Genomic DNA, 25,049 nt, shown 5'->3' with positions numbered 1-25,049 from the left:
GATCACAATTCCCAGTGCTGAAGAAAAGGCCAAACTCTGGAAAAAATTTTGAATATTTTGAGCCAAATGTGAGGACCACAACCTGTGAGAACGGAAAATAAATCCTGGGACCCCAGACTCACTAAGCCAAAGGGAAAAGCCAAGCTGGGAACTGGCTTATGCAAACCTGCTTCCCATCTGGTTCCTAAATAAGATAGCTATTACACAAAGATAAAAAAGCTACATCCCTGCCTCTACCTCCATCGCATGTAAAATGTGTATTCAGTGAACGCTGACCAAAGACAGAAGAATGCAACCATTTGCCTCTGATTTACCCACACCCATTTTTTCCACTTCTTCCCCTTTCCCCAACACCCACACTTCTCCCCTTTACTTACTGAGGTCCCCAGACAATCTTTGGGAAAAGCACGGACCACAGTTTTTCCTGTGGTTCTCTGTTCTTTTCTCAGGTGTGTCCTTAACCTTGCAAACAGATTTCTTGAAATGATTGACACTCACCTTGGTTGTGTTCTTTGATCAGCACCTGTGACGCAGCTTCAGGAGGTCCTGAGAATGTGTGCACAGTTTAGTCGGCAGAAACTTAGGGAAACGTAAGACCACCATCAGTACGTAGGAGTTGTGCATTGGTTTGGTCTGGAAGGAGGAAAATTCAAAGTAATGGGGTTTACAGGTCATAGATAGATTCAAAGATTTTCTGATTCTCAGTTGGTTGAAAGAATTATTATCTACAGACCTGCTATCAATAGAAAGGAGAGTCTGGGTTAAGATAAGAGACTGTGCAGACCAAGGTTCTTATTATGTAGATGAAGTTTCATAGGTGGCCACCCTTAGAGACAATAGATGGCAAATGTTTCCTGTTCAGACCCATAGAAGGTGCTAGGCTCTCAGCCAATGTCTTCAGGATCAGAGAAAGACCTGGAAAGGGAAGGGATTCTCTACAGAATGTAAATGTCCCCCACAAGAGACAGCTTGGCAGGGCCATTTCAAAGTATGTCAAAGAAATATATTTTGAGGTAAAATATTGATTTCATGGCCTCTGTCTGTCATGTGATGCTGCACTGGAGTCAGGTTGGAATTTGGTATCTTATTGCTAGAGAGCCTTGTCAGTCTTCAGATCTCTCTTTTAATGTTGGTTCTGGTCAGTTCTGCCCAAATTCCAAAGGGAGGAGGGTACAATGAGGCCTGTCCAGCCCCCACTCCTCCTCATCACGGCCTGAACTAGTTCTTCAGGTTTCTCTGGAATCCCTTTGGCCCAGAGGCGGGGTCCACGCGATCGGCTGTGGGGCTTAGAATTTTATTCTTGGTTTACGGCAGCTTTAGGGAGGTGCTCTGAGACCCGAAACTAGACTCGACTTTAACAGACACAGACGACCCTGAAGGTGAGACTGTCTGCTGGTGGGATGCTGGGCGAGTTGCTTAATGTCCCTGAGCTGCTATTTGCTAACTGTGAAGTGGGATCCTGGTCCCTGACAGGCAAGATTTTGGCACACGGAGAGCTGGTGCACGTGGGCGGCTGTCCCCTAAACTCGCGTCCCTTCTTTTTAATCATACCCCACTGGCTGCACCTACACCTCCTCCCAGGCACACACCGAAGAGGATGAGCTCTGGTCCTCGAACCTCTTGTCTGCTCCCACCAGGCAGATTCTCTGTTCCCCGTGCCCAGGCAGCAGTGGTGGACACCAGCATCCCGGAATGGTGTAGAAAGGCTGACCCCATCATAGCCAAAGCCTGGGGTTTCCTGTTTCCCTCCTCCTCCTCCCCACTCCTCCCCCGACCCCTCCCTCCTCCACTTACCCCCATCCCCTGCATAATGGGTTTCTAGCTGCCTCCTCTGCCTGCCCAAACAGGACAGGCAGGAAAAACTGGCTTGGTTCTGAGTAGGCAGTTTCAGGGCCTTAAGGAGAAATTCATCGGCCATTAATCAGGACCTTCCCTCCGGGGAGTTGGCAGCTTCAGGTGTGGTCTCTGGAAACAAGCCCCACAAATTATTATCAGAGAACCTCTGTCTTGGGTGGCAGAGGCAGCCTGGTTGGGGTGGGCACCCCGGCTACGGAAAGGAGCAGCTCCCTCCACTTTCCTTCCGGCTGCATGTGGAGAGGCTCGAGCGGGGCACAGTCCAAGACGAGATATTAATCTTGTGTTTGGATTTTTCCTTTTTTTTAATAAAGAAGAAAGATAAGGTATTGTGCTCATCTTGTAAAAATCAAGCACACAGTACATCAGTCTATTCTACAAAGAAACACAACCTAAGCAAAGATTTGTTATAGGCAGTGGCCAGTTACAGAAACAGTAGGACTTCCATTAGGGGTTTTGTATGGGAAAGAAAGGGAGTCAGACACAGACGTGATGGTGGAGACAGGGGCAGGAAGACAGAGCAGCTGACACTTCCAGAAATAGCTGGCCAGAGGCCAGCAGGAGGGAAACACCAACCCGAGGAAAGAGAGACGGGGATTGGGAGAGAAATTCAGAAGAGACTGAGGCACGCACACAGACAGACACACCCACCCACACACAGATACGGATTCAAAGAGACACGCACACTCTGAGTTTCTGAGAGTAAGCCACTGTCAGTTCCTGGGGTGAGCCACCAGCCACATGGACACAATTTCCTCTTTTTGGTAAGTCTTTGACCTGTCTGAACCCCCTACTTAATTACCTATAAAATGAGTCATTGCAAGGATGACAAAGACGCTCTCCTTGACCAAACTCCACTCAGGCTCCTTTGAGCCTTCTCCTTGATGAAGCCTCATCCTTGGCCTGCTGAGCTCAGTGCTAGCAAGGAATGCTGCTAAGGTCCTTAGTGAGAATCTTCCCCACCCTTGCTAACTAACCAAGCTCCTTTCAACAACTTTTCATCACCTCCCTCACCCTGCTCATTGGCTATCCCCACTTGTCTCTGTTGTATTGAGAGTTGAATTCAGTCTCTCTCTCTCCTCTTGCAATAGTTTTTTTTTTTTTTTTAAGAGACAGGGCCTTGCTCTGTCAACCAGGCTGGAGTGCAGTAGCACAATCACAGCTCAGAGCAGCCTCAAACTCCTAGGCTCAAAGGATCCTCCCACCTCAGCCTCCTACAGGTGTATGCCACTGCACCAAATAATTTTTTAAAACATTGTAGAGATGGGGTCCTGCTTTGTTGCCCAGGCTGGTTTTGAAGTCCTGGCTTCAAGTGATCCTCCCACCTGGGCCTCCAAAGGTACTGGGATTACAGGCATGAGCCAACCTATCAGCCTGGTAATCAGCCTGGTAATCACGTAAAACAGACACATAGACCAGTGGAACAGAATAGAGAACCCAGATATAAATCCACACATTTACAGCCAGCTCATCTTCAGCAAAGGCACCAACAACATACGAGCGAAAGGACGGTCTCTTCCATAAGTGGTGCAGGGGAAACTAGATAAAGATATGCAGAAGAATGAAACTAGACCCGTCTCTCTTACCATACACAGAAATCAAATCAGAATGGATTAAAGGTAAAACTGAGACCTGAAAGTATAAAACTACTGGAAGAAAACATTAGGGAAGTGCTCCAGGACATTGTTCTCAGCAAAGACTTTTTCAGTAGGGCCCCAAAAGCACAGGCAACCAAAGCAAAAACAGACAAGTGAAATCACACCAAGCTAAGAACCCTCTGCAGACCAAAGGAAAAAGTCAACAAACTGAAGAGACAACCCACAGAATGGGAGAAAATACTTGCAAGCTACCCACCTGACAAGGGATTCATAACCAGGAGCTCAAACAATAGCAAACAATTAATCGAATTTTAAAATGGGCAAGAGACCTGAGTAGACATTTCTCAAAAGAAGATGTACAAATGGCCAGCAGGTACATGAAAAAATGCTCAACATCACTAATCATCAGAGAAACGCAAATAAAAAACTGCAATGAGGTCTTCTCTCACCTCAGTTAAAATGGCTTTCGTCAAAAACGCAGGGAATAAGGGATGCTGGCGAGGATGTGGAGAAAGGGGGACCCTCACACACTGTTGTGGGAACGTTGATTAGTACAACCACTATGGAAAACAGATGGAGGCTCCTCAAAAAACCAAAAGGGGCCGGGCACGGTGGCTCACGCCTGTGGTCCCAGCACTTTGGGAGGCCAAAGCAGGGGGATCACAAGGTCAGGAGTTTGAGACCAGCCTGGCCAACATGATGAAACCCCATCTCTACTAAAAATATAAAAAATTAGCCAGGCGTGGTGGTGCGACCCTGTAATCCCAGCTACTTGGGAGACTGAGGCAGGAGAATCACTGGAACACAGGAGGTGGAGATTGCGGTGAGCGGAGAGCGCACCATTGCACTCCAGCCTGGGTGACAGAGCAAGACTCCTCCTTAAAAAATAAATAAATAAATAAAAGTTGGCCGGGCGCGGTGTCTCACACCTGTAATCCCAGCACTTTGGGAGGTGGAGGCGGGCGGATCACAAGGTCAGGAGATCGAGACCATCCTGGCCAACATGGTGAAATCCCGTCTCTACTAAAATACAAAAAATTAGCTGGGCGTGGTGGTGCGCACCTATAAATCCCAGCTACTCAGGAGGCTGAGGCAGGGGAATCGCTTAAACACAGGAACCCGGGAGGCAGAGGTTGCAGTGAGCCAAGATCACACCACTGCACACCAGCCTAGTGACAGAGCAAGACTCCATCTCAAAAAACAAACAAACAAACAAAAAAAACACCTAAAAGTAAAACTGCTGTATGATCCAGTAATTTCACTAACTGGGCCTATAGTCAAAAGAAACAAAATCAATATATCGTAAAGACATCTGCACTCTCATGTTTACTGCGGGACTACTCACAATCGCCAAAATACGGAATCAGCCTCTGAGTTCATCAGCGGATGATGGATAAACAGAACGTGGTGTGTATACACAGTGGAATATTATTCAGCCATACAGAGGAACGACAGCCTGTTATTTGTACAAGATGGAACTAGGGATCATTATGTTAAGTGAAATAAGCCAAGCACAGAAAGACAAACATTGAATGTTCTCTCCCACCTACTAAAAAAGTAGCTCTCGTGAAGACAGAGGGTAGACGCGTGGTTACCAGAGGTGGGGAAATGTAGCGGGGAGAGGGGGAGAAAGAGAAGTTGATTGAAGGGTACAAATACGTGGTTTGATAGAAGGAATAAGACCTAGTGTTACATAGATCATAGTTGACAATTGCCTACTGTATATTTCAAAATGGCTAGAAGAGAAGAATCGGAACGGTTCTAGCATAAAGCAAAAACAAATATTTAAGGCGATAGATATTCCAAGTAGGCTGATTTGATTTTCACAATTATATGAATGCATTAAACTATCACATGTACCCTGAAACTATGTACATCTATTATGCATCAGTGAAAAAGAAAAAAGAAACAAGAACTTAGATTTTAAACTCAGCACTCTCCTAGTGGGCTCCTTAAAAATATTTTTGTTTGGGAGGACAAAGTAGGAGGATTCCTTGAGCCCGGGAGCTTGAGGCTGCAGTGAGATAGTGCCACTGCACTCCAGCCTGAGCGACAGAGAGATACACTGGCTCTAAATATAAATAATATAAATATATATTTATGGAATAAATAAATGAATAAAATATCTTTGCATGCTGGTGAGCCCAGGGTACAGTCTGCCCTTGGCAGCTCGGTGACTCAGCCAAGACGGCTGAACAATCCTCGCCCACTAGACAGTGGAGGTCGCCCTCCAGAGGACCTTATCAGATGTACGTGCAAAGCAGTTTTCAAGACAGTTTTCTATTCAGAGTGTGGTTTAGCCGTTCAGGGAGAGAGATCACAAAGGAAAACCACCTTTAGGAAAGCAGGTGAGAAAGGTGTAAGTTCCCAGGCTTGGGGGTCCTGGCCCAGCCTAGCTGTGGGCAACCCCGGGAAGGCTGAGCCCCGCAGGCTGTATGGACAAAGCATCTCGCTTTCCACACTGGCCACAGGTCTATCCCTGGCAGTAAACAGGTCACAGGTGGGCAGCAGGTCTAACACCTGTAGCGAAAGAACGCAGGAGAGGAACTGAGGCTCTGCTACCAGCAGATGCTCCAAGCACATCCCACGGGGAGGACCATGCACAACTCAGCTGGCCACAACCAGGAAAAGGGTGTCCAGGGCCTCAGAGCTGCTTCAGTGGGGCCATTTCCAGGCTCCCAAGCAGTAATGTGGGTGCCCTCTCAAGAACAGAAGCGGAACAGCCTAACGCTAATGTTTGGGAAGAAGAGAACAGTGATCCCCCTGGTTACCTCCCATCTCTCTCTGCAGTTCTCATGCATCTGTGCACACACGCTCACACACACATATGTCCATCAATCCACTCACAATGTTTGACTTAAAGCAGAAACCATATAAAGGGCAGGATAAGGAGAAAAGACGAAAGGAACTGAAAAGATGCAAACAGCCACTAACACGCCAATTTGCACCTTGCACAGGGCCTGGGAAGTAATGACACGGCTTCTCGTTATGCATCAATGATCTCATGTTTTCATTTTAACAAGCACCCTAATACAAAAATAGGCTTTATAGGGAGGAGAGAAAATATGTTTTATAGGGAGGAGAGAAAAGCCATTCTGAAGAGCTGGATAGGTTGCCTTTGGCCCACATGGAGTCAGCCCCCTGCCCACGCCACCAGGCTCACGTTCAGGGCCCTGGCTGGAGAAACCTGAGCTGCAGGACCCGCTGCCCACCAATGCAGAAGAGAAGGCAGTATGCTTTTTGCATTGGGTGGAACAAAAACAGAAGAAATGGGAATTTGGTGAGAAATAAGGGAGGTGGTCCTCAGAATCTGCAGAGCAGTGGCTTCCAAACTCTGTGATGCAACCCCAGCCAGAAAAACACTTTACATCATGGCTGAGGGCACATACATGCACGCACATATGCACAATACAGGAAATCTGGAATACAGAAAGCCCTGGAATTCCTAAATAAAATCCTGCCCACATGGGAATTCTGCCCTAGCTGATGGCTTCTCCGAGGCCTAGGCCCAAATCCACACCTGCTGTTTAGCCCAGAGCAAAGCCTAGGAGTGTAGGGTCCCCTATGCATGGGTGTCCAACCCCATCCCTGTCCGGAATAGCACGGGTGCTTCTCGGTGCCACAAATGTTGGTGGCGGCTGGGGAGGAGTGGTTCCTCCAAGGCTCCATGCCTGCCTCCACCACTGAGGCCAGCACGGTGGGACTGGGCTAGGGAGACAGGCAGGCTGGCCTACCCACTGAAGGAGCCAGTCTGCTTCCACCTAGTCAGCAGCTCCAGGGAGCGCATCTCCCTCCAGGAAGGGCAGGAGGCCAAGAGGAGCTGGAAAGGTGGGCATTTGATATCATGAGGTATAAAGAGAGCTCCTAGGGGTCCCAGACATCAACTAATAAAAGCACCTCAGAAGTTCATAGATGGGGAAATAGCTGTGTGAATATACAGTGTTATCCAAGTCATGCAGAGAGGAAGGGCTCGAACCCATGGCTACTACTCCCCACCCCCGTCCTCCTCCTCCTCTTTCCATTAAGTTTTTGTGATTATGAAAGTAGCTTACATTTGGTGTAGAAAATATGGAACATATGGAAAAATTTAAAAAGACTCAGGCAAAGGGTCATGTGTCACTTATGACCAGAGGCCGTTGTTCTTTATTAACAGATGGAAATGTTTTCTTCCAAATTGTGCTGCACGTTTTTGGCGAGAGCATGGGGCTGTGCGGCGTCCCCTCCCTGGCGCCCACCTGTGCCCTGCACACTGGCCTGCACTGTGGTGATCTCGCTTGGCCCCCACCTGATTCCCGACATACAGCAGAGGAAGCTTAGGCTCAGGTGGAATAGCCTCAACTGATTCTGTCCCTGAACTTCCGTACACAGCCCTGGAGTCGTCTTAGAGCCATGATTTATTTAACTGTTCTTTCATTTTACAGAACATAAAATGTATTGTTTCCAACTTTTTTCCTATGGTAAATAATACTAAAGTAAATATCTCTGTGCATGAATCTTTTTGTATATGTTGGAATATCCTTAAGATAAGGCCCCAGAACTAAAAGTACCCTGTCAAAAGGTGAGCATTTCCGGTTCCCCTGCTGTGCTTTGCTGCGTTGTTCTCTCCTGCTGCAACGTTCTCACTCCACAATCCTGGGGCAGGGAGGGGAGGCCCAGCTGAGTTTGGATCATAATCCTGAAAGACACAATCCCAAGCACCATAATGTGGAATGTTGAAATCCCTAAAGATCAAAATCCCTCAAGTCTAAAATCCCTGATATTTCAGATGACCACAGCTACAGGGCTAGGTGCACACAATTAGTAACCGTAGCGATATACGTGTACACGTTTCTCTTTTGACTTATTTCTTTATGGTCTGTCTTCTTATAACTGCTACACCCATGCCGCCGTCGTTAGTTACCTCAGTGTTTATGCAAAAATACCTGTTATCATTGCCTATTTTATTGTGTAAAGTGGCCTATGAAATGTTCTGTTGTGTTTTTATGTTTCTCAAATACATACCTTTTAAAAATGTAAATAAATAACATCGACATTATTTTTTCCAGATTTATACTTTTGGGATTTTGATCTTTGGGATTTCAGGATGAGGTATTCGGAGCTGTGTCTTTGGGGATGATGACTGGCTCCTGTGCCGTCCCACCCGTCTTTGCGGCATGGGACCTTGGCATCCCCACCTCGGCCCTGGCTCTACCTGACCTCACAATGGACCAGGCCAACTCAGTCAATGTGGAGGCAGCATCAGGTAGACCTGGGGCTGAAACTCAACACTGGTGTTCACCTTGACCTAGCTTCTCTGAGCCTCAAGTTCCTCATCTGGACACCAGTGGGGTTAGGGGCTGAGGCACATCAGCACTAAGCAGGAGAGCTCATCGTTGCCATGCATCAGCTGTGGCTCTAGAGCCGAGACGCTCCCAGCCGTGTAGGCTTCCCAGCAGTGCAGGCCCCTCTCTAGAGCTGAGATGCTCCCGGCAGTGCAGGCCCCTCTCTAGAGCCGAGACGCTCCCAGCCGTGTAGGCCCCTCTAGAGCCAAGACGCTGCAGGGTTAATCAGGGCTGCCCAACAGTCCATCCCCTCTTCTCTCTCTGAAATCAAGAAACATTCCGAATTCCAAAATGCAACTGGTCCCAAGTGTTTCAGTTAAGGGACTGTGGCCCTGTGTAATGCCAGGCAGTGACAAGGACTGTGACTGGGAGCCATCGTAAGTCGATGCTGAATGCCAAAGGGAGGAAAGGAGGCAGCGGTCCTTAAAGGGCCCACTGAGCTCAGATCCCACGCCTGAGCCTCCGCCTCTCCGTGCAGTCCCGGAGATGGCACACAGCCTTCTGCACGAACCGCAATGAGCTGGGCTCCCTCATCACCGCTAGGAGCACTCTGAGAAAGCAGGGCCATTCCACGGGGTTCTGCAGGAGAACGGCGAAGGGTGCTGTTCAACCTGCTCAGTCAGTTGCTAGGTGAGGAGAATTTAGTATTCATAAGTGAAAATTTCTAAGTTACTGGAATTAATTATGGGGTTTGATTCTACATCATCCAGAAAAGCCTGGATGCCACACAGACTCAAGGCTGAAAGCTCCCAGTGCACCTGCACAAACACACCCACACATGCACCCATATCATATACACACGTGCAAACATGTTCACATTCACACTCACTCCTACACACTCGGATCATATACACATTTGTGCACACGTGTTCATATTCACACTCCTACACACCCAGATCATACACACATACACACACTTGTGCATACACATTCATGCTCACTCCCACACACCCAGATCATATACACACTCGTGCACACATGCTCACATTCACAATCACTCATACCCAGATCATACACACACTTATGCACACATTCACACTCACTCATACATACACAGATCATATACATACTTGCGCATACGTGTTCGTATTCACACTCCTACACACCCAGATCATACACACATACACACACTTGTGCATACACATTCATGCTCACTCCTACACACCCAGATCATATATACACTCGTGCACACATGTTCACATTCATGCTCACTCATACACACCGATTGTACACTCGTGCACACATTCACACTCATACACACCCATATCATATATTCATGCACACATGTTCACATTCATGCTCACTCATACACACCCAGATCATATATACACTCGTGCACACATTCACACTCATACACACCCAAATCATACTCACATTCATGCACACATGTTCACTCATGCTCACTCATACACACCCAGATCATATATACACTCGTGCACACATGTTCACATTCACTCATACACAGCCCAAAATATACACATTAATGCACACAATACATATTCATACTTGCACACAACCAAATCATATACCCACTCACACACACATGTTCACATTCACACTCATACACACTCAGATCATAAATACATATGTACACATTCACATTCATACCCCCAAATCATACGCACACTAGTGTATACATGTACACACTCACACACAAATCATACACACTCATACACACAGTCACACTCACACATACCCCCAAATCATATACACACTCATGCACACCGTCACACATATAATCCAAACACACAAAAATATATGCATGCGCTCATTCATACACAATCTCACACATACATATACAGCCATGTGGGATTTTTCTGCCATTTTCAGAAATGTAAATTTTGTAGTTCCTGCTTTTTAAAGACTATAAATTATTTTTAATTTACCTTCATTCTCAATTTTGTTTGTTATAAGTAGCTTGATTGTCATACAGCATCCAACGACGCATATTTCCTTTATTTTTTTTGAGATGGAGTCTTGCTCTGTCACCCAGGCTGGAGTGCAGGGGCGCGATCTCGGCTCACTGCAACCTCTGCCTCCCGGGTTCAAGTGATTCTCCTGCCTCAGCCTCCCGAGTAGCTGGGATTACAGATGCCCATCACCACGCCCAGCTAATTTTTGTATTCTTAGTAGAGACGGGGTTTCACCATGTTGGCTAGGCTGGTCTTGAACTCCTGACCTCATGATCCACCTGCCTCGGCCTCCCAAAGTGCTGGGATTACAGGTGCGAGCCACCGTGCTCTGCATATTTTCACGTTAAAAATGTTTTATTTAAAAAAAAAAAAAAAGATGTCCAGAAGAGTTGCAAAGACAGTACAGCAACTTCCCACAGACCCGTTCACCAGCTTCCTCTCACTTGAGCATCTTACACAGCAATGAGGCACGTGTGGAAACTGCGACACTCACATGGGTGCCATCTCAGCAGCTCACGGTGTAGAAACTGCGACACTCACATGGGTGCCATCTCAGCAGCTCACGGTGTGGAAACTGCGACACTCACATGGGTGCCATCTCAGCAGCTCACGGTGTAGAAACTGCGACACTCACATGGGTGCCATCTCAGCAGCTCACGGTGTAGAAACTGCGACACTCACGCGGGTGCCATCTCAGCAGCTCACGGTGTGGAAACTGCGACACTCACGCGGGTGCCGTCTCAGCAGCTCACGGTGTGGAAACTGCGACACTCACGCGGGTGCCGTCTCAGCAGCTCACGGTGTGGAAACTGCGACACTCACGCGGGTGCCGTCTCAGCAGCTCATGGTGTGGAAACTGCGACACTCACGCGGGTGCCGTCTCAGCAGCTCACGGTGTGGAAACTGCGACACTCACGCGGGTGCCGTCTCAGCAGCTCACGGTGTGGAAACTGCGACACTCACGCGGGTGCCGTCTCAGCAGCTCACGGTGTGGAAACTGCGACACTCACGCGGGTGCCGTCTCAGCAGCTCACGGTGTGGAAACTGCGACACTCACGCGGGTGCCGTCTCAGCAGCTCACGGTGTGGAAACTGCGACACTCACGCGGGTGCCGTCTCAGCAGCTCACGGTGTGGAAACTGCGACACTCACGCGGGTGCCGTCTCAGCAGCTCACGGTGTGGAAACTGCGACACTCACGCGGGTGCCGTCTCAGCAGCTCACGGTGTGGAAACTGCGACACTCACGCGGGTGCCGTCTCAGCAGCTCACGGTGTGGAAACTGCGACACTCACGCGGGTGCCGTCTCAGCAGCTCACGGTGTGGAAACTGCGACACTCACGCGGGTGCCGTCTCAGCAGCTCACGGTGTGGAAACTGCGACACTCACGCGGGTGCCGTCTCAGCAGCTCACGGTGTGGAAACTGCGACACTCACGCGGGTGCCGTCTCAGCAGCTCACGGTGTGGAAACTGCGACACTCACGCGGGTGCCGTCTCAGCAGCTCACGGTGTGGAAACTGCGACACTCACGCGGGTGCCGTCTCAGCAGCTCACGGTGTGGAAACTGCGACACTCACGCGGGTGCCGTCTCAGCAGCTCACGGTGTGGAAACTGCGACACTCACGCGGGTGCCGTCTCAGCAGCTCACGGTGTGGAAACTGCGACACTCACGCGGGTGCCGTCTCAGCAGCTCACGGTGTGGAAACTGCGACACTCACGCGGGTGCCGTCTCAGCAGCTCACGGTGTGGAAACTGCGACACTCACGCGGGTGCCGTCTCAGCAGCTCACGGTGTGGAAACTGCGACACTCACGCGGGTGCCGTCTCAGCAGCTCACGGTGTGGAAACTGCGACACTCACGCGGGTGCCGTCTCAGCAGCTCACGGTGTGGAAACTGCGACACTCACGCGGGTGCCGTCTCAGCAGCTCACGGTGTGGAAACTGCGACACTCACGCGGGTGCCGTCTCAGCAGCTCACGGTGTGGAAACTGCGACACTCACGCGGGTGCCGTCTCAGCAGCTCACGGTGTGGAAACTGCGGCACTCACGCGGGTGCCGTCTCAGCAGCTCACGGTGTGGAAACTGCGACACTCACGCGGGTGCCGTCTCAGCAGCTCACGGTGTGGAAACTGCGACACTCACGCGGGTGCCGTCTCAGCAGCTCACGGTGTGGAAACTGCGACACTCACGCGGGTGCCGTCTCAGCAGCTCACGGTGTGGAAACTGCGACACTCACGCGGGTGCCGTCTCAGCAGCTCACGGTGTGGAAACTGCGACACTCACGCGGGTGCCGTCTCAGCAGCTCACGGTGTGGAAACTGCGACACTCACGCGGGTGCCGTCTCAGCAGCTCACGGTGTGGAAACTGCGACACTCACGCGGGTGCCGTCTCAGCAGCTCACGGTGTGGAAACTGCGACACTCACGCGGGTGCCGTCTCAGCAGCTCACGGTGTGGAAACTGCGGCACTCACGCGGGTGCCGTCTCAGCAGCTCACGGTGTGGAAACTGCGGCACTCACGCGGGTGCCGTCTCAGCAGCTCACGGTGTGGAAACTGCGGCACTCACGCGGGTGCCGTCTCAGCAGCTCACGGTGTGGAAACTGCGACACTCACGCGGGTGCCGTCTCAGCAGCTCACGGTGTGGAAACTGCGACACTCACGCGGGTGCCGTCTCAGCAGCTCACGGTGTGGAAACTGCGACACTCACGCGGGTGCCGTCTCAGCAGCTCACGGTGTGGAAACTGCGACACTCACACGGGTGCCGTCTCGGCAGCTCACGTCCAGGACCCCAGGCTGCACTGGCCCTCACGCCTCCTTAGTCCCCTGCACCTGTGACCCTTTCCTGGCCTGTCTTCGTTTCACCGCCTTGACAGCTTTGCAGAGTGCTGCTCAGGTATTCTGCAAGACGCCCCTCAATTGGTGTGTGTGTGATGTTCTCTCTGATTACATTGGAACTGTGCGTTTGCGGAAGAACACGGCGGAGGTGGAGCGCTCTTCTCATCACGTGCTCTCAGGGGCCACGATGTCAACATGCCTCATCACTGGTGGTCTGGACCTTGATCACACGGCCAAGGTGAGGCCTGCCAGGTCTCCCCACGGGAGAGTGACTGTTTTCCTCTCCATGTCCTGCTGGTTAAGAGTGAGTCATGAAGTCCAGCATGAGCTCCAACTCCTACAGGAAGGAGCATCAAAGAATTTGGGCACCGCGGTAATTACTGAACATTTAGGGGAGACACTTTGACAGTATACAAATATCTTCTTTCTCCTTAAACTTTGCACAGGAATTTTAGCATTCCTCAGGGGAGCTTGCCTGCAGCACTGATGGTGATTTTCTTTTTTTTCTTTTCTTTTCTTTCTTTCTTTCTTTTTTTTGAGACAGAGTTTTGCTCTTATTGCCCAGGCTGGAGTGCAGTGGCACAATCTCAGCTCACTGCAACCTCCCGGGTTCAAGCGATTCTCCTGCCTCAGCCTCCCAAGTAGCTGAGATTACAGGCATGTGTCACCAGGCCCAGCTAATTTTGTATTTTTTTGTAGAGACACGGTTTCACAATGTTGGCTAGGCTGGTCTCGAACTCCTGACCTCAGGTGATCCACCTGCCTCAGCCTCCCGAAGTGTTGAGATTACAGGCACGAGCCACTGTGCCCAGCCTGATGGTGATTTTCCCTATTTACTCCACATTTCTTGTTTGGAATTTGTTCCAAGAAAGGCCTGTCCCTTTCAGTTTTTTGTTTTCTTTTGTTTTGTTTTGTTTTTGAGACAGAGTCTTGCTCTGTCACCCCAGCTGGAGTGCATTGGCGTGATCTTGGCTCACTGCAAGCTCCACCTCCCGGGCTCACACCATTCTCCTGCCTCAGCCTCCCCAGTAGCTGGGACTACAGGCGCTCGCCACCTCGCCCGGCTACCCTTTCAGTTTTAATTTATTCAATAATTTATTTATATGCTTACGAATCCATGGACATTCATTTTATTCTTTGGGGCATAATCCGATTTGTGTGTGTGTGTGTGTGTATGTCTGTGTGAGTGTGTGTGCACTCAAATCATTGTAGCTGTGGCCACTGGGAGCTCTTACATTTTGGGTTCCATGCCCTTTTGAAATGCCCACAGCTTTTTAAAAATTTTATTTTTGAGCATTTTCTTACTTCCTGGGACTACAAGATGCTCCAGGTTCATCTTGTATTTTCTCTCCCACATCCCAATTATCAGCCATTTCTCCAGGGAGACTTGGCTCCTTTTATTGAAGATGAAATTTAGAAACTAACATCTGGGCATGGAATGTGCTTGCTGCTACTGGGGTGTCCCCTCTCAAAGGACAAACCCAGGATCTACAGATGTGTGTGCTAAGCCATGTATGCACACGCACGTGTGTGTGTATATATTTAACCTATCTGTATATATGTATTATGTAAACATGAGTTCCTGCTGGCATATCTGACTATAACTGACCACCTCAGGGTCCATTCTGATCTGTATATATGTATCATGTAAACACAACTTCCTACTGGCATATCTGACTGTAACCGACCACCTCAGGGTCCATTCTGATCTGTATATATGTATCATGTAAACATGATTTCCTACTGGCATATCTGACTATAACTGACCACCTCAGGGTTCATTCCGATCTGTATATAAGTATCATGTAAACACGAGTTCCTGCTGGCATATCTGACTGTAACCGACCACCTCAGGGTCCATTCTGATCTGTATATATGTATCATGTAAACACGAGTTCCTGCTGGCATATCTGACTATAACCGACCACCTCAGGGTCCATTCTGATCTGTATATATGTATCATGTAAACATGAGTTCCTACTGGCATATCTGACTATAACTGACCACCTCAGGGTCCATTCTGATCTGTATGTATGTATCATGTAAACACGAGTTCCTACTGGCATATCTGACTATAACTGACCACCTCAGGGTCCATTCCGATCTGTATATAAGTATCATGTAAACACGAGTTCCTGCTGGCATATCTGACTGTAACCGACCACCTCAGGGTCCATTCTGATCTGTATATATGTATCATGTAAACACGAGTTCCTGCTGGCATATCTGACTATAACTGACCACCTCAGGGTCCATTCTGATCTGTATATATGTATAATATATATTATATATGGACCTCAGGGTCCATTCTGATCTGCATATATGTATAATATATATTATATATGGACCTCAGGGTCCATTCTGATCTGTATATATGTATCATGTAAACATGAGTTCCTGCTGGCATATCTGTCTATAACCGACCACCTCAGGGTCCATTCTGATCTGTATATATGTATAATATATATTATATATGGTCCTCAGGGTCCATTCTGATCTGTATATATGTATCATGTAAACATGAGTTCCTGCTGGCATATCTGTCTATAACCGACCACCTTAGGGTCCATTCTGATCTGTATATATGTATAATATATATTATATATGGACCTCAGGGTCCCCGCTGGCTTTTCCATGACTTCCTTATCCAGCTGTGAGAACCCTGACTCTTACTACTGTATTGACTTATTTGTGAAACCTTAGTATATATAAAAGTAGTTTCAAAGTTGCTAACATGTATTGCTGTGGGAAACAATTTTACCAATTGGAGTTTAGTGCTTAGATATGCAGAGTTATTTGATTCTTTCCAGAATCTAATCAAAACACTGTTTTTGGACTTACCCAGGTCAGCTCCTTTCTGCCCACTCTTTCAGCGCAGGCGTGTCCTGCTGTGGAACACACTCTGGGATTCCTGTGTGGGTCTGTACCCATCCTGTACCCGTCAGGACCCCCGGGCTCTGACTCTTGATGTTGTTCTTGCTCCTCTTGTTGATCTTGTTGTTCCCACAGTGAGGTCCAGTCCTGTGGGGTTTGACAAACACAGCATCACGTACCCAGCTCTGTAGAGCCACACAGAAGACTTTCATCCCTCAAAAATGGCCCCAGTTCGGCCCCTCAGTAGTAAACTCCTCTCCCCTCACTCACCCACTGGCAAATACTGATCTGTTTCTGTCCCGATAATTGTGTCTTTCCATATACACAAAAGTGAAGTCTGAGGGTGAGGCCCATGGCCTTGGGAAGCAGGCATAAGTTGGGGGGGGTGGGCACACAGGGTCACCGCGGAAGAAGATCCATGCTGCCCACACAGCCACATGTGGGACAGGGCAGGACCAGCCCCCCAAGCTGTGAACCTCGCCCGAGGCTATGCCCCACTCTGGAGCAGAACGGCCTCTGCAGAGCTTCCACCATGCACATAGGCTGTGCACAGCCAGGCCAGGAAGGGGAGGGCCCCTGTCTGCAGAGACAGGCCCATCCTGGACAGAAGGGAAAGCATTCCAGGCAGATCCGCCACTGGCTGCTGTTGCCAGAGTGGCTGTGTCCCCTCTGCAGCGTCCATGCCCAGCCGGCCTCCCCTGCCTCCCTCTGCAGCTGTCCACGCCCAGCCAGCCTCCCTGCCTCCCTCTGCAGCTGTCGCTCTCCACCCTCCTCTCCTTTCTTCTCTCCATCCCCCCTCCATCCCCGTCTCCTTTCTCCTCTCCATCCCCCTCTCCATCCCCCTCTCCATCTCCCTCTCCTTTCTCCTCTCTAGCCCCCTCTCCTTTCTCCTCTCTATCCCCCTCTCCTTTCTCCCTCTCCACCCCCCTCTCCTTTCTCCTCTCCATCCCCCTCTCCTTTCTCCCTCTCCATCCCCCTCTCCTTTCTTCATGGCTCTTTCCCTTTCCTGCCACAACTGAACTGAGTGCAGGTGATTTTCGCTGCCTGCTGGCTTTATTCAGCTTCAACTTCTTGACTTTAAAGGTGGATGCAGGAAATGTGTGTCTTGTGTCACACATGGAAATGTTGCTGAAATAAGTTACTCTTCACTGATGTGGCCTCGAGGGTTTTCTGCTGGGTTTCTGGACCTTGTAAGCAAAGCAGACCCTCACCCGACTGACCTCCTGGCTGTGACGATGTGTGTTTCTATCCCACACAGGGAGGGTGTTTATGGTCTGAAGTGAGGCCTCTCATTAACTCCTCAAGAGTCGATTGAAGCACAATTTATTAGAGCCCAGAAATCATGGCAATCCATTCCCACAAGCACACAGCACAGCTAAACCAGATCCAAGGAGGGTCCGAGTGTCCACAACTGCACCCCAGGCCCATTGTGCCTGCCGCTGGAGAGCGTGGGGCCCCTTGGCCCCTAAAGGTTTGCTGAGAAGTCACTGACATGAGACAGATGGATTAATAGGAGAAACGGTATGCAAATTTATGTGATGTGTACATATAAGAACCTTTAGAACGAAGACCCAACGATGGGGGAAATTGTCCATTTTTATGTTTAGGTTTAATAACGTATGAACAGTCCTCTAAAAAAAGGATTGGACACAAAGGGCTTGATCTAATGTGAATAGACTGAGTGGGAACCCAGCAAGGTCTGTCTAGATTTGTCTTCGTCTCTGAGCATTTTCTTCTCTGGACGTGGGGCAGGGCCCTCTCTGGAATGACAGTCTCATGACCTACAGTCAAACAAGGGATGTTGGATCATTTCTCTCTAGTCAGCTCTTATATAGAAAGGTAGACGGAACACTGAGTAATATTTTTAGGTTTTCTGACCAGCTTTGGGGAGAAGGGGTTCTGATTTCTGTGACCGGCCTTGGGGAAAAAGAGAGTCTGGTTTCTACAGCGCCTTCGGGGAGAATGAGACTGAGAGACAGGAGGGCAGGAGAAGGTCAGAGACAACTTTTGCTTCTGAGGCTGCTGCTGAGGACTTCATTTTGGGGCGTTGTTTTCTGAGCCCCAACAGAAGGAAGGAAGCCTCTCCCTCCATGGGTCAGTCCTGGGCCTCAAGGGCACCCTCGAAGCAGGCAGCTCAGCTCACAGAGCTCCCCTCGGCCATGTCCTCCACCTGCCCTTCCTTGGTCCAGCACCTCACCTGCACACACCTGTCTGGAGAGTCCCCAAGGTTGGAGAGCTGCTGAGTCAGCTGGGCCGAGCACACAGCGCAATACTTCCTTGTGCCTCCTAACCAGGATGGGCGACACCAGCCCATTTTATGGATGGGACAAGAAGAAGCTGGGCTGACAAGCCCAACATAGTGGAGCCAGCAACAGGCTTTTACTCTCCTCTCTGTCTCTTTGTCTCTCTCACCCACCGCACCTCCATCCGCTCCATTCTCCTCTCTGCACATCAGCTTCCCAGACAATATTCTTGGTTTCTGTGGCTCCCAAACTGAAGCTTCCCCACAGTGGCTGCAACTATCCAGACCTGGGGCCACACTTGGGCCTCCAGGCAGGGGATCTAGTGATCACATTCTGGTCATGTCATCAGGCCAACTTGGCTGAGCTCTGCCCTCCTTATCTCTCTTCTCCCCTCGAGCCCTCACCCTGGTTACCTGCACAAGTAAACTTGCCCCTAACTGACCCCCTTTTCTCCCTCCATGTCCCTCAATACAACACTAACTCTGGCAAAAAAGACCAGCCTGGCCAGGTGCGGTGGCTCACGCCTGTAATCCCAGCACTTTGGGAGGCCGAGGCGGGCAGATCACAAGGTCAGGACATCAAGACCATCCTGGCTAACACGGTGAAACCCCGTCTCTACTAAAAATACAAAAAATTAGCCAGGCATGGTGGCAGGCACCTGTAGTCCCAGCTACGCGCGAGGCTGAGGCAGGAGAATGGCGTGAACCCGGGAGGCGGTGCTTGCAGTGAGCCGAGATCGCGCCACTGCACTCCAGCCTGGGCGACAGCGAGACTCCGTCTCAAAAAAAAAAAAAAAAAAAAAAGACCAGCCTGAAGCAGAGATTGGGTCCCAGCCTGGCTCTGCCTGGCCCTCTGCTCCCGCTTCACCTCACAGACAGAACGCTGCCCTGTGGAGGGGTCCCCGGACCCTTTGGTGGGTGCCAAGCGGGTATGGAGGCCAAGGCCTGAGTGGTGAGAATAGTCCAGGGGCTAGCGCTGCGTGGGGAGGGCGAGCTCAGAGAGCAGGGGAGCCTGACCCTGCAGGTCAAGACTTCTGTCTGAGAGAAATGAAAAGCTGGGGATTTTAAGCAAAGGAATGCCTTGACCCAACCCTCACAACTTACATAATAATTAACTTAAAAGGAATCATAAGTTTAAACAGAAAATCTATATAAGAGGTTTACAGTTTAATTTAAAAACTATAATAGGTTTATAGTTTTTAAATTAAAATTTTAAATATAGTGGTTTATAAAACTTTGAGAAGAAAACATAAAATCCCTATGAATGCTGCAAAAGTCACTGTTGAGAGAATGAAAACACAAGACATAGAGTTGGAGAAAATATTTGTGAATCTCATATCTGGCAAAGGAATTGTATCTAGAATACATAAAGAACTCTCAAAATCCAACAGTAAAAACACCAAATAATCCAGTTACAAACCGGGGAAGGACTTGAACAGATGCGTCACCAAGCAAGGGATATGGATGGGAAATAAGCTTCCATCAGCCACCAGGGAGATGCAAATTACAGCCACTAGGAAACGCTTTTCATTCATTCCGGGATGGCTGAAATGTAAGCACGGAAAATGCTGGGTGCCCGCAAGAACGCGGAGCAGCAGGCACTCATTCCCGATTAGCGGGAGCGCAAAGCGAAGGGGCGGCCTGTGGCGTTTTCCTGTAAAGTTGGGCACACGCTTCCCACATGACTCAGCAATTGCACTTCTGGGTATGTACCCGAGAGAAACAAAAGCTTATGTTCACACAAAAACCTACAACGCAAATGCACAAACAGCTCTATCCAACAACCATCCCACCCTGGAAGCAACCCAAACACGCTTCAGCGGCACAGGCGCCTCCACGCGGAACCCCACGCGGCGCTCAGCACGGACGAGGAGGGAGCCGCGCACGCGCGGTCGGCTCGGCGAGGAGCCGGTCTCCAAGTGCCGCCAGCTGCGGGATTTCCTCTGCAAAAGACAAACCACAGGGAGAGCTGCCGGGGCTGGGTCGGGGAGTGTGACTGTGAACGGAGTTCTGGGGGTGATGTAACTGTTCTGTATCCACAGTGTTGCTACATGAATCTATAAATGTGTTAAACTCATAGAACTGTACACCAAAAAATAGCAGTTTTGCTGAATGTTAATTCAGAAATGAAATTAAAATTTTAAATTAACAACAAGCAACTTTACAAGAGAAAAAAAAAAACCTCATTTCCTCCCCACAAAGCCACCTCATGAGCCTGGGTGGTGCCTAGCCAGTCCTGCTGCTGAACCTGCTCTGACCTGGCCTAAGGGTAGGACTCGAGGCTGGGAGCCAAGGGCCAACCACAGGACAGGCAGCAAGACCCGCTTCGCTGGTCTGTCACACACACCGCACCAAGTCGGTGTTCAGGATAAACCGGGGCACACTCTGAGCTGGGCCTGTCTCCGGCTTCAACCAAAAAGCCTGAGCTCTGGCAGGTGAAGGACCAGACGTTTCTGTGGGGCTATGGACTTGTCTGGGAGGCAGCCACCTCTAAGCCACCCAGGATGGTTTCGGTTGTGTTTGGATGGAGTTCTGAGTTTTGCCAGTTAAAATTCCCCCTTCAGGAGCTCTCTATGGGGTTAAAGTGCAAGATTTGGGGTAGAAAAATGACAAATCAGACGACTGGAAGGAACATTATGGACTGTCCTCCCTTCTGCCTGAAGAGATGGGGAGACTCTCCCAGGCCATGTGGAAGACCTCACAGGGGGACCAACTGCTGCCTTTCAGCCTGGCCGAGGGAAGAGCCCCTGACTCAGCCTCCGCAGGAGGAGGTGGGCTGGAACCAAGTTTCCCTGCATCAATCCAGGCAGGCAGCCCCGAACAGTGCACTCCAACATGGGATAGTGAGCCAGCTTGGGGGACAGCAGCTGTCTAAACAGGAGCATGCAACCCCCGTGCTGAGAGTTCCCCAGGGTCACGACTACCCAGAGTCAGAGCTGCCCAGGGTCACAGCTACTCGAGGTCAGAGCTGCCCCAGATCAGGGCTGCCCAAGGTCAGAGCTGTCCTGGGTCAGAGCTGCCCATGGTCAGAGCTGTCCTGGGCATCAGAGGCGCAGAGGTGGGAAGGGCTGGCTTCAGGTGGGAGTTATAGGTGGGAGTTATGCTACAAAGGGTCTTGAAGGCCAGTGTTGTTGACAGGGTAGGGTGCCTGGGTAATAGCAGAGGAAGAAAAAGGCTTAGAGTTGGAGGGAAAAACATGAACTGGAGTTGGGGGAGTGCACCTTCCCCCTCAGAGACCACAAAGCCTCCCCAGGGCTGGGCTGTGGCTGCTGGAGCTCCCAGACCATGCCAAGTGTCAGAGCCTGGGCAAGACCCTCTGGGGCAGCCCGGAACCACCAGAGGTCAGAGCTGGAGGAGGCTCAGCTGGGGCCCTTGCACCAGGCAGGAGGCCCAGAAAAGAGACAGTGCTCTTGAACTGCAGGAAGGCAGCTCCGTAGAGAGGCAAATCTCACTCCAGCTCGGGCAATACTCAACTACACGGACGTGGATGCTCTCAAGGGGGCTTTGGGGCATGTGGTGTCGGCATTGGACCCAAATATGGGCTCAAAGCTTTCCTTTACCATATTCCTTCTACATTTTTCTTGCAGATTGAGAAGGGATAGGGAGGAGTTTAGGGAAGTGAGTGAAGCAGGAAGATGTTGACCAAGGGAAGTTAATTCCATAAAGAGGAGGATGAGGGGACAGAAAGGCAGGAGGAAGAGGAGGAGGAGAATCTTCGCACAGGGGGTGTCAGCTGATGGGGGCAGCATGGGCGCCCATGGAGCCCTTTAGGGGTCGTTGGTTGTGTGCAGAGAGGCCACAGCAGGCGAGGCAGGCAGTGTCTACCACCCCCAAGGAGACACCAAGAATCCCTGTCCTTAGGAAGTCCCCTCTTCCTCCTCTTGAGTCTCATCTCGGAAAGAGGGAGCTGTCAGTCAGAGCTGAGGCCAAACACTGGGGCTAATAGGGGTGAGAGCAGGGACCTGTGGGGTCCTCACCGCTGTCCCCTTCTCACTTTTCTGGCTCAGGCCAGGCTCAGCCCCCAGTGGTCTATTGTCTTTCTATCTGTCATCTATCTACCTACCCACCTATCTAACCATGCCATCTATTTCATCTATTTTTATCTATCAACCATCTATCATATATCTACCTACCTACCTTTCCATCTATCATCTAGTTCATCTATTGCTATCTATTATCTAATTTGCCTATCAAGTATCTATCCATCATCTATTTCTATCATCTATCCATCACCTGTTACCTATCACCCATATACCACCTATCCCTATCTATCATCTATCTAGCCAGCAATCCACCCATCATCTACTTCATCTATTTCTACCCGTCTCCCACCCCCTCTCCCCACCCCTCACCAGAGAGTATGCAAGCACGACCACGTCAACAGGCCCTGAAGTCACAGGTTCACACAGCACGTTTTCTGCTCCATCACGTGTATGGGGCAGGGGGCAGCAGAGCTGGGGGAGAAGAGATAAAGGAATTATGTCAAACAGGGACTGTCTTGTCTGCCCCAAGGGCCTTTCCTCATCTATAAAGCAGATTTTTCTTGTAGAGCACCACGAGAGCTGTGAAATGGGAGTGAGGGGTGACGCAGGCCATGGGGCCTTCCACAAGGTGGGCAAGATGGTTGTCTCTGGGGAACCAGCTGGCCAGAGGGGTCCAAGTGCCAACCGGTCTGGATGAGAGCAAAGCAGCAGGCAGAAGGTTACAGAGGCAAGTGTCGGCACCAGGGGTGAACGCTGGGATTTTTCAAATCCAAGAGGCATTTCAAGTAAGGGGAAAACCTCCCCCGGGGCTGGGCTGAGAAGCTAGTCGGGTGATGGGATGAGTGAGAATGACAAGTTGCGTCTGATTGTCCTGGAGACCTGGCTGAGAACTCTGTGTGAGTCTCTTAGGTAGACGGTTACACTTGTTTTCAGTGAGAGTCAGTTTCCATAGAGAACTGCATGGTAGTCACCAAGAACCGAGGGGGCCCAGGAATGCCCCAGCAGTGGTCTGGAAGGGCTTGTGGGGCTGGGCAGGAGGTGGGTGGGGACCGGGTGCAGGCAGAGGGAATTCAAGGGTACAGAGGCAGAGAGATGGTGCCGCCTGGGGAACGCAGCGCACCCAGGACAGAACAGGCCTGAGAGCCACACACACTCACAGCAGCTTCCCAGAGTGTTTGTTTTCTATGCACCAAGATGCTCCCCCAAACCCTCTGCAGCCTGTTCCCTGCCTTGGGGGTCCTGAGGGCCACCCTTCGGGTATGGGGTTCAGGTCGCTATTCCTTTCTCGATGCCCCTGGTGTGTCCATGGGATGAGCTGACTGGCCCACCTAGTGGGAGCCTGTGCACCACGGTTCGTGTGGCCCAGGGGAGGAGGTTTTGCCTTTCCTGGACCCCACTTTATGAAAGGAAAGCCTGAACCCCTGGGCCAGCTAGGGGAGTGAGCTAGGGTGGAGGGCAGTGCTGGTCATGGAGGGCAGTGTCCAGCCCTCTGCTCACCAGCTCCAAGAGTGATTCTGGAAACGGAGCCCAGTCCCTGGGCCCAAACCTTTGCCTCTGCCCTTCTTTCTCTCTACAAATTAGAGGCCACATCCCTGGCCGCTGAAGCCTTGTACCCTGACCCACTGTCTGAACCTGATGGAGTCTAAATGCAGTGAGCGGGTGCCAGCCTTCCCTGGAGCTCTGCAGAGGCAAGGAGGGGGTGGATGGAAAGACGGGAGTCCCTCCCCTTAGGTGAGGGGGGGAACTAGGGCCCGGGGAGATGCCCAGGCCTGGCGGCCGGCGCACGCGGGTTCTCTGTGGCCAGCAGGCGGCGCTGCAGGAGAGGAGATGCCCAGGCCAGGCGGCCGGCGCACGTGGGTTCTCTGTGGCCAGCAGGCGGCGCTGCAGGAGAGGAGATGCCCAGGCCTGGCGGCCGGCACACGTGGGTTCTCTGTGGCCAGCAGGCGGCGCTGCAGGAGAGGAGATGCCCAGGCCTGGCGGCCGGCACACGCGGGTTCTCTGTGGCCAGCAGGCGGCGCTGCAGGAGAGGAGATGCCCAGGCCAGGCGGCCGGCGCACGCGGGTTCTCTGTGGCCAGCAGGCGGCGCTGCAGGAGAGGAGATGCCCAGGCCTGGCGGCCGGCGCACGCGGGTTCTCTGTGGCCAGCAGGCGGCGCTGCAGGAGAGGAGATGCCCAGGCCTGGCGGCCGGCGCACGCGGGTTCTCTGTGGCCAGCAGGCGGCGCTGCAGGAGAGGAGATGCCCAGGCCTGGCGGCCGGCGCACGTGGGCTCTCTGTGGCCAGCAGGCGGCGCTGCAGGAGAGGAGATGCCCAGGCCAGGCGGCCGGCGCACGCGGGTTCTCTGTGGCCAGCAGGCGGCGCTGCAGGAGAGGAGATGCCCAGGCCTGGCGGCCGGCACACGCGGGTTCTCTGTGGCCAGCAGACGGCGCTGCAGGAG

General features: G+C 51.0%; 1 protein-coding gene and 1 long non-coding RNA gene across 8 annotated transcripts; one reads left to right on the top strand and one right to left on the bottom strand.

Annotated features, from left to right (window-relative positions):
* Positions 1-500: 500 nt before the first annotated feature.
* On the bottom strand, positions 501-24,409 carry LOC105379561 (uncharacterized). Of its 7 annotated transcripts, none has more exons than XR_001756173.2 (5): positions 22,985-23,789; positions 16,358-16,537; positions 8,000-8,127; positions 1,795-1,965; positions 501-633 (listed from the first exon to the last, which is right to left on the bottom strand). XR_001756173.2 is itself a non-coding variant. In XM_017030174.2 (5 exons), exons 1-5 carry the CDS (start codon positions 24,203-24,205, stop codon positions 603-605), a joined length of 534 nt encoding a protein of 177 aa, XP_016885663.1. In that variant the 5' UTR covers positions 24,206-24,409; the 3' UTR covers positions 503-602. The 7 variants fall into 7 exon arrangements, 4 of the variants coding, with proteins under 4 accessions (XP_016885661.1, XP_016885662.1, XP_016885663.1 ...); XM_017030174.2 differs by lacking the exon at positions 1,795-1,965 and adding an exon at positions 24,113-24,409 and having other exon boundaries at positions 503-633; positions 22,985-23,086; XM_017030172.2 differs by lacking the exon at positions 1,795-1,965.
* Positions 2,134-8,469, top strand: LOC124905335 (uncharacterized). The gene is made up of 2 exons (XR_007068557.1): positions 2,134-2,618; positions 7,606-8,469. It is a non-coding gene; the product is annotated as an uncharacterized LOC124905335 (long non-coding RNA).
* Positions 24,410-25,049: the final 640 nt, after the last annotated feature.

This window comes from Homo sapiens, unplaced genomic scaffold (assembly GCF_000001405.40).
Source record: "Homo sapiens unplaced genomic scaffold, GRCh38.p14 Primary Assembly HSCHRUN_RANDOM_CTG25".
Lineage (NCBI taxonomy): Eukaryota > Metazoa > Chordata > Mammalia > Primates > Hominidae > Homo > Homo sapiens.
Note: the sequence above shows the minus strand (reverse complement) of the source record. Positions and strands in the feature narration are given on the sequence as shown.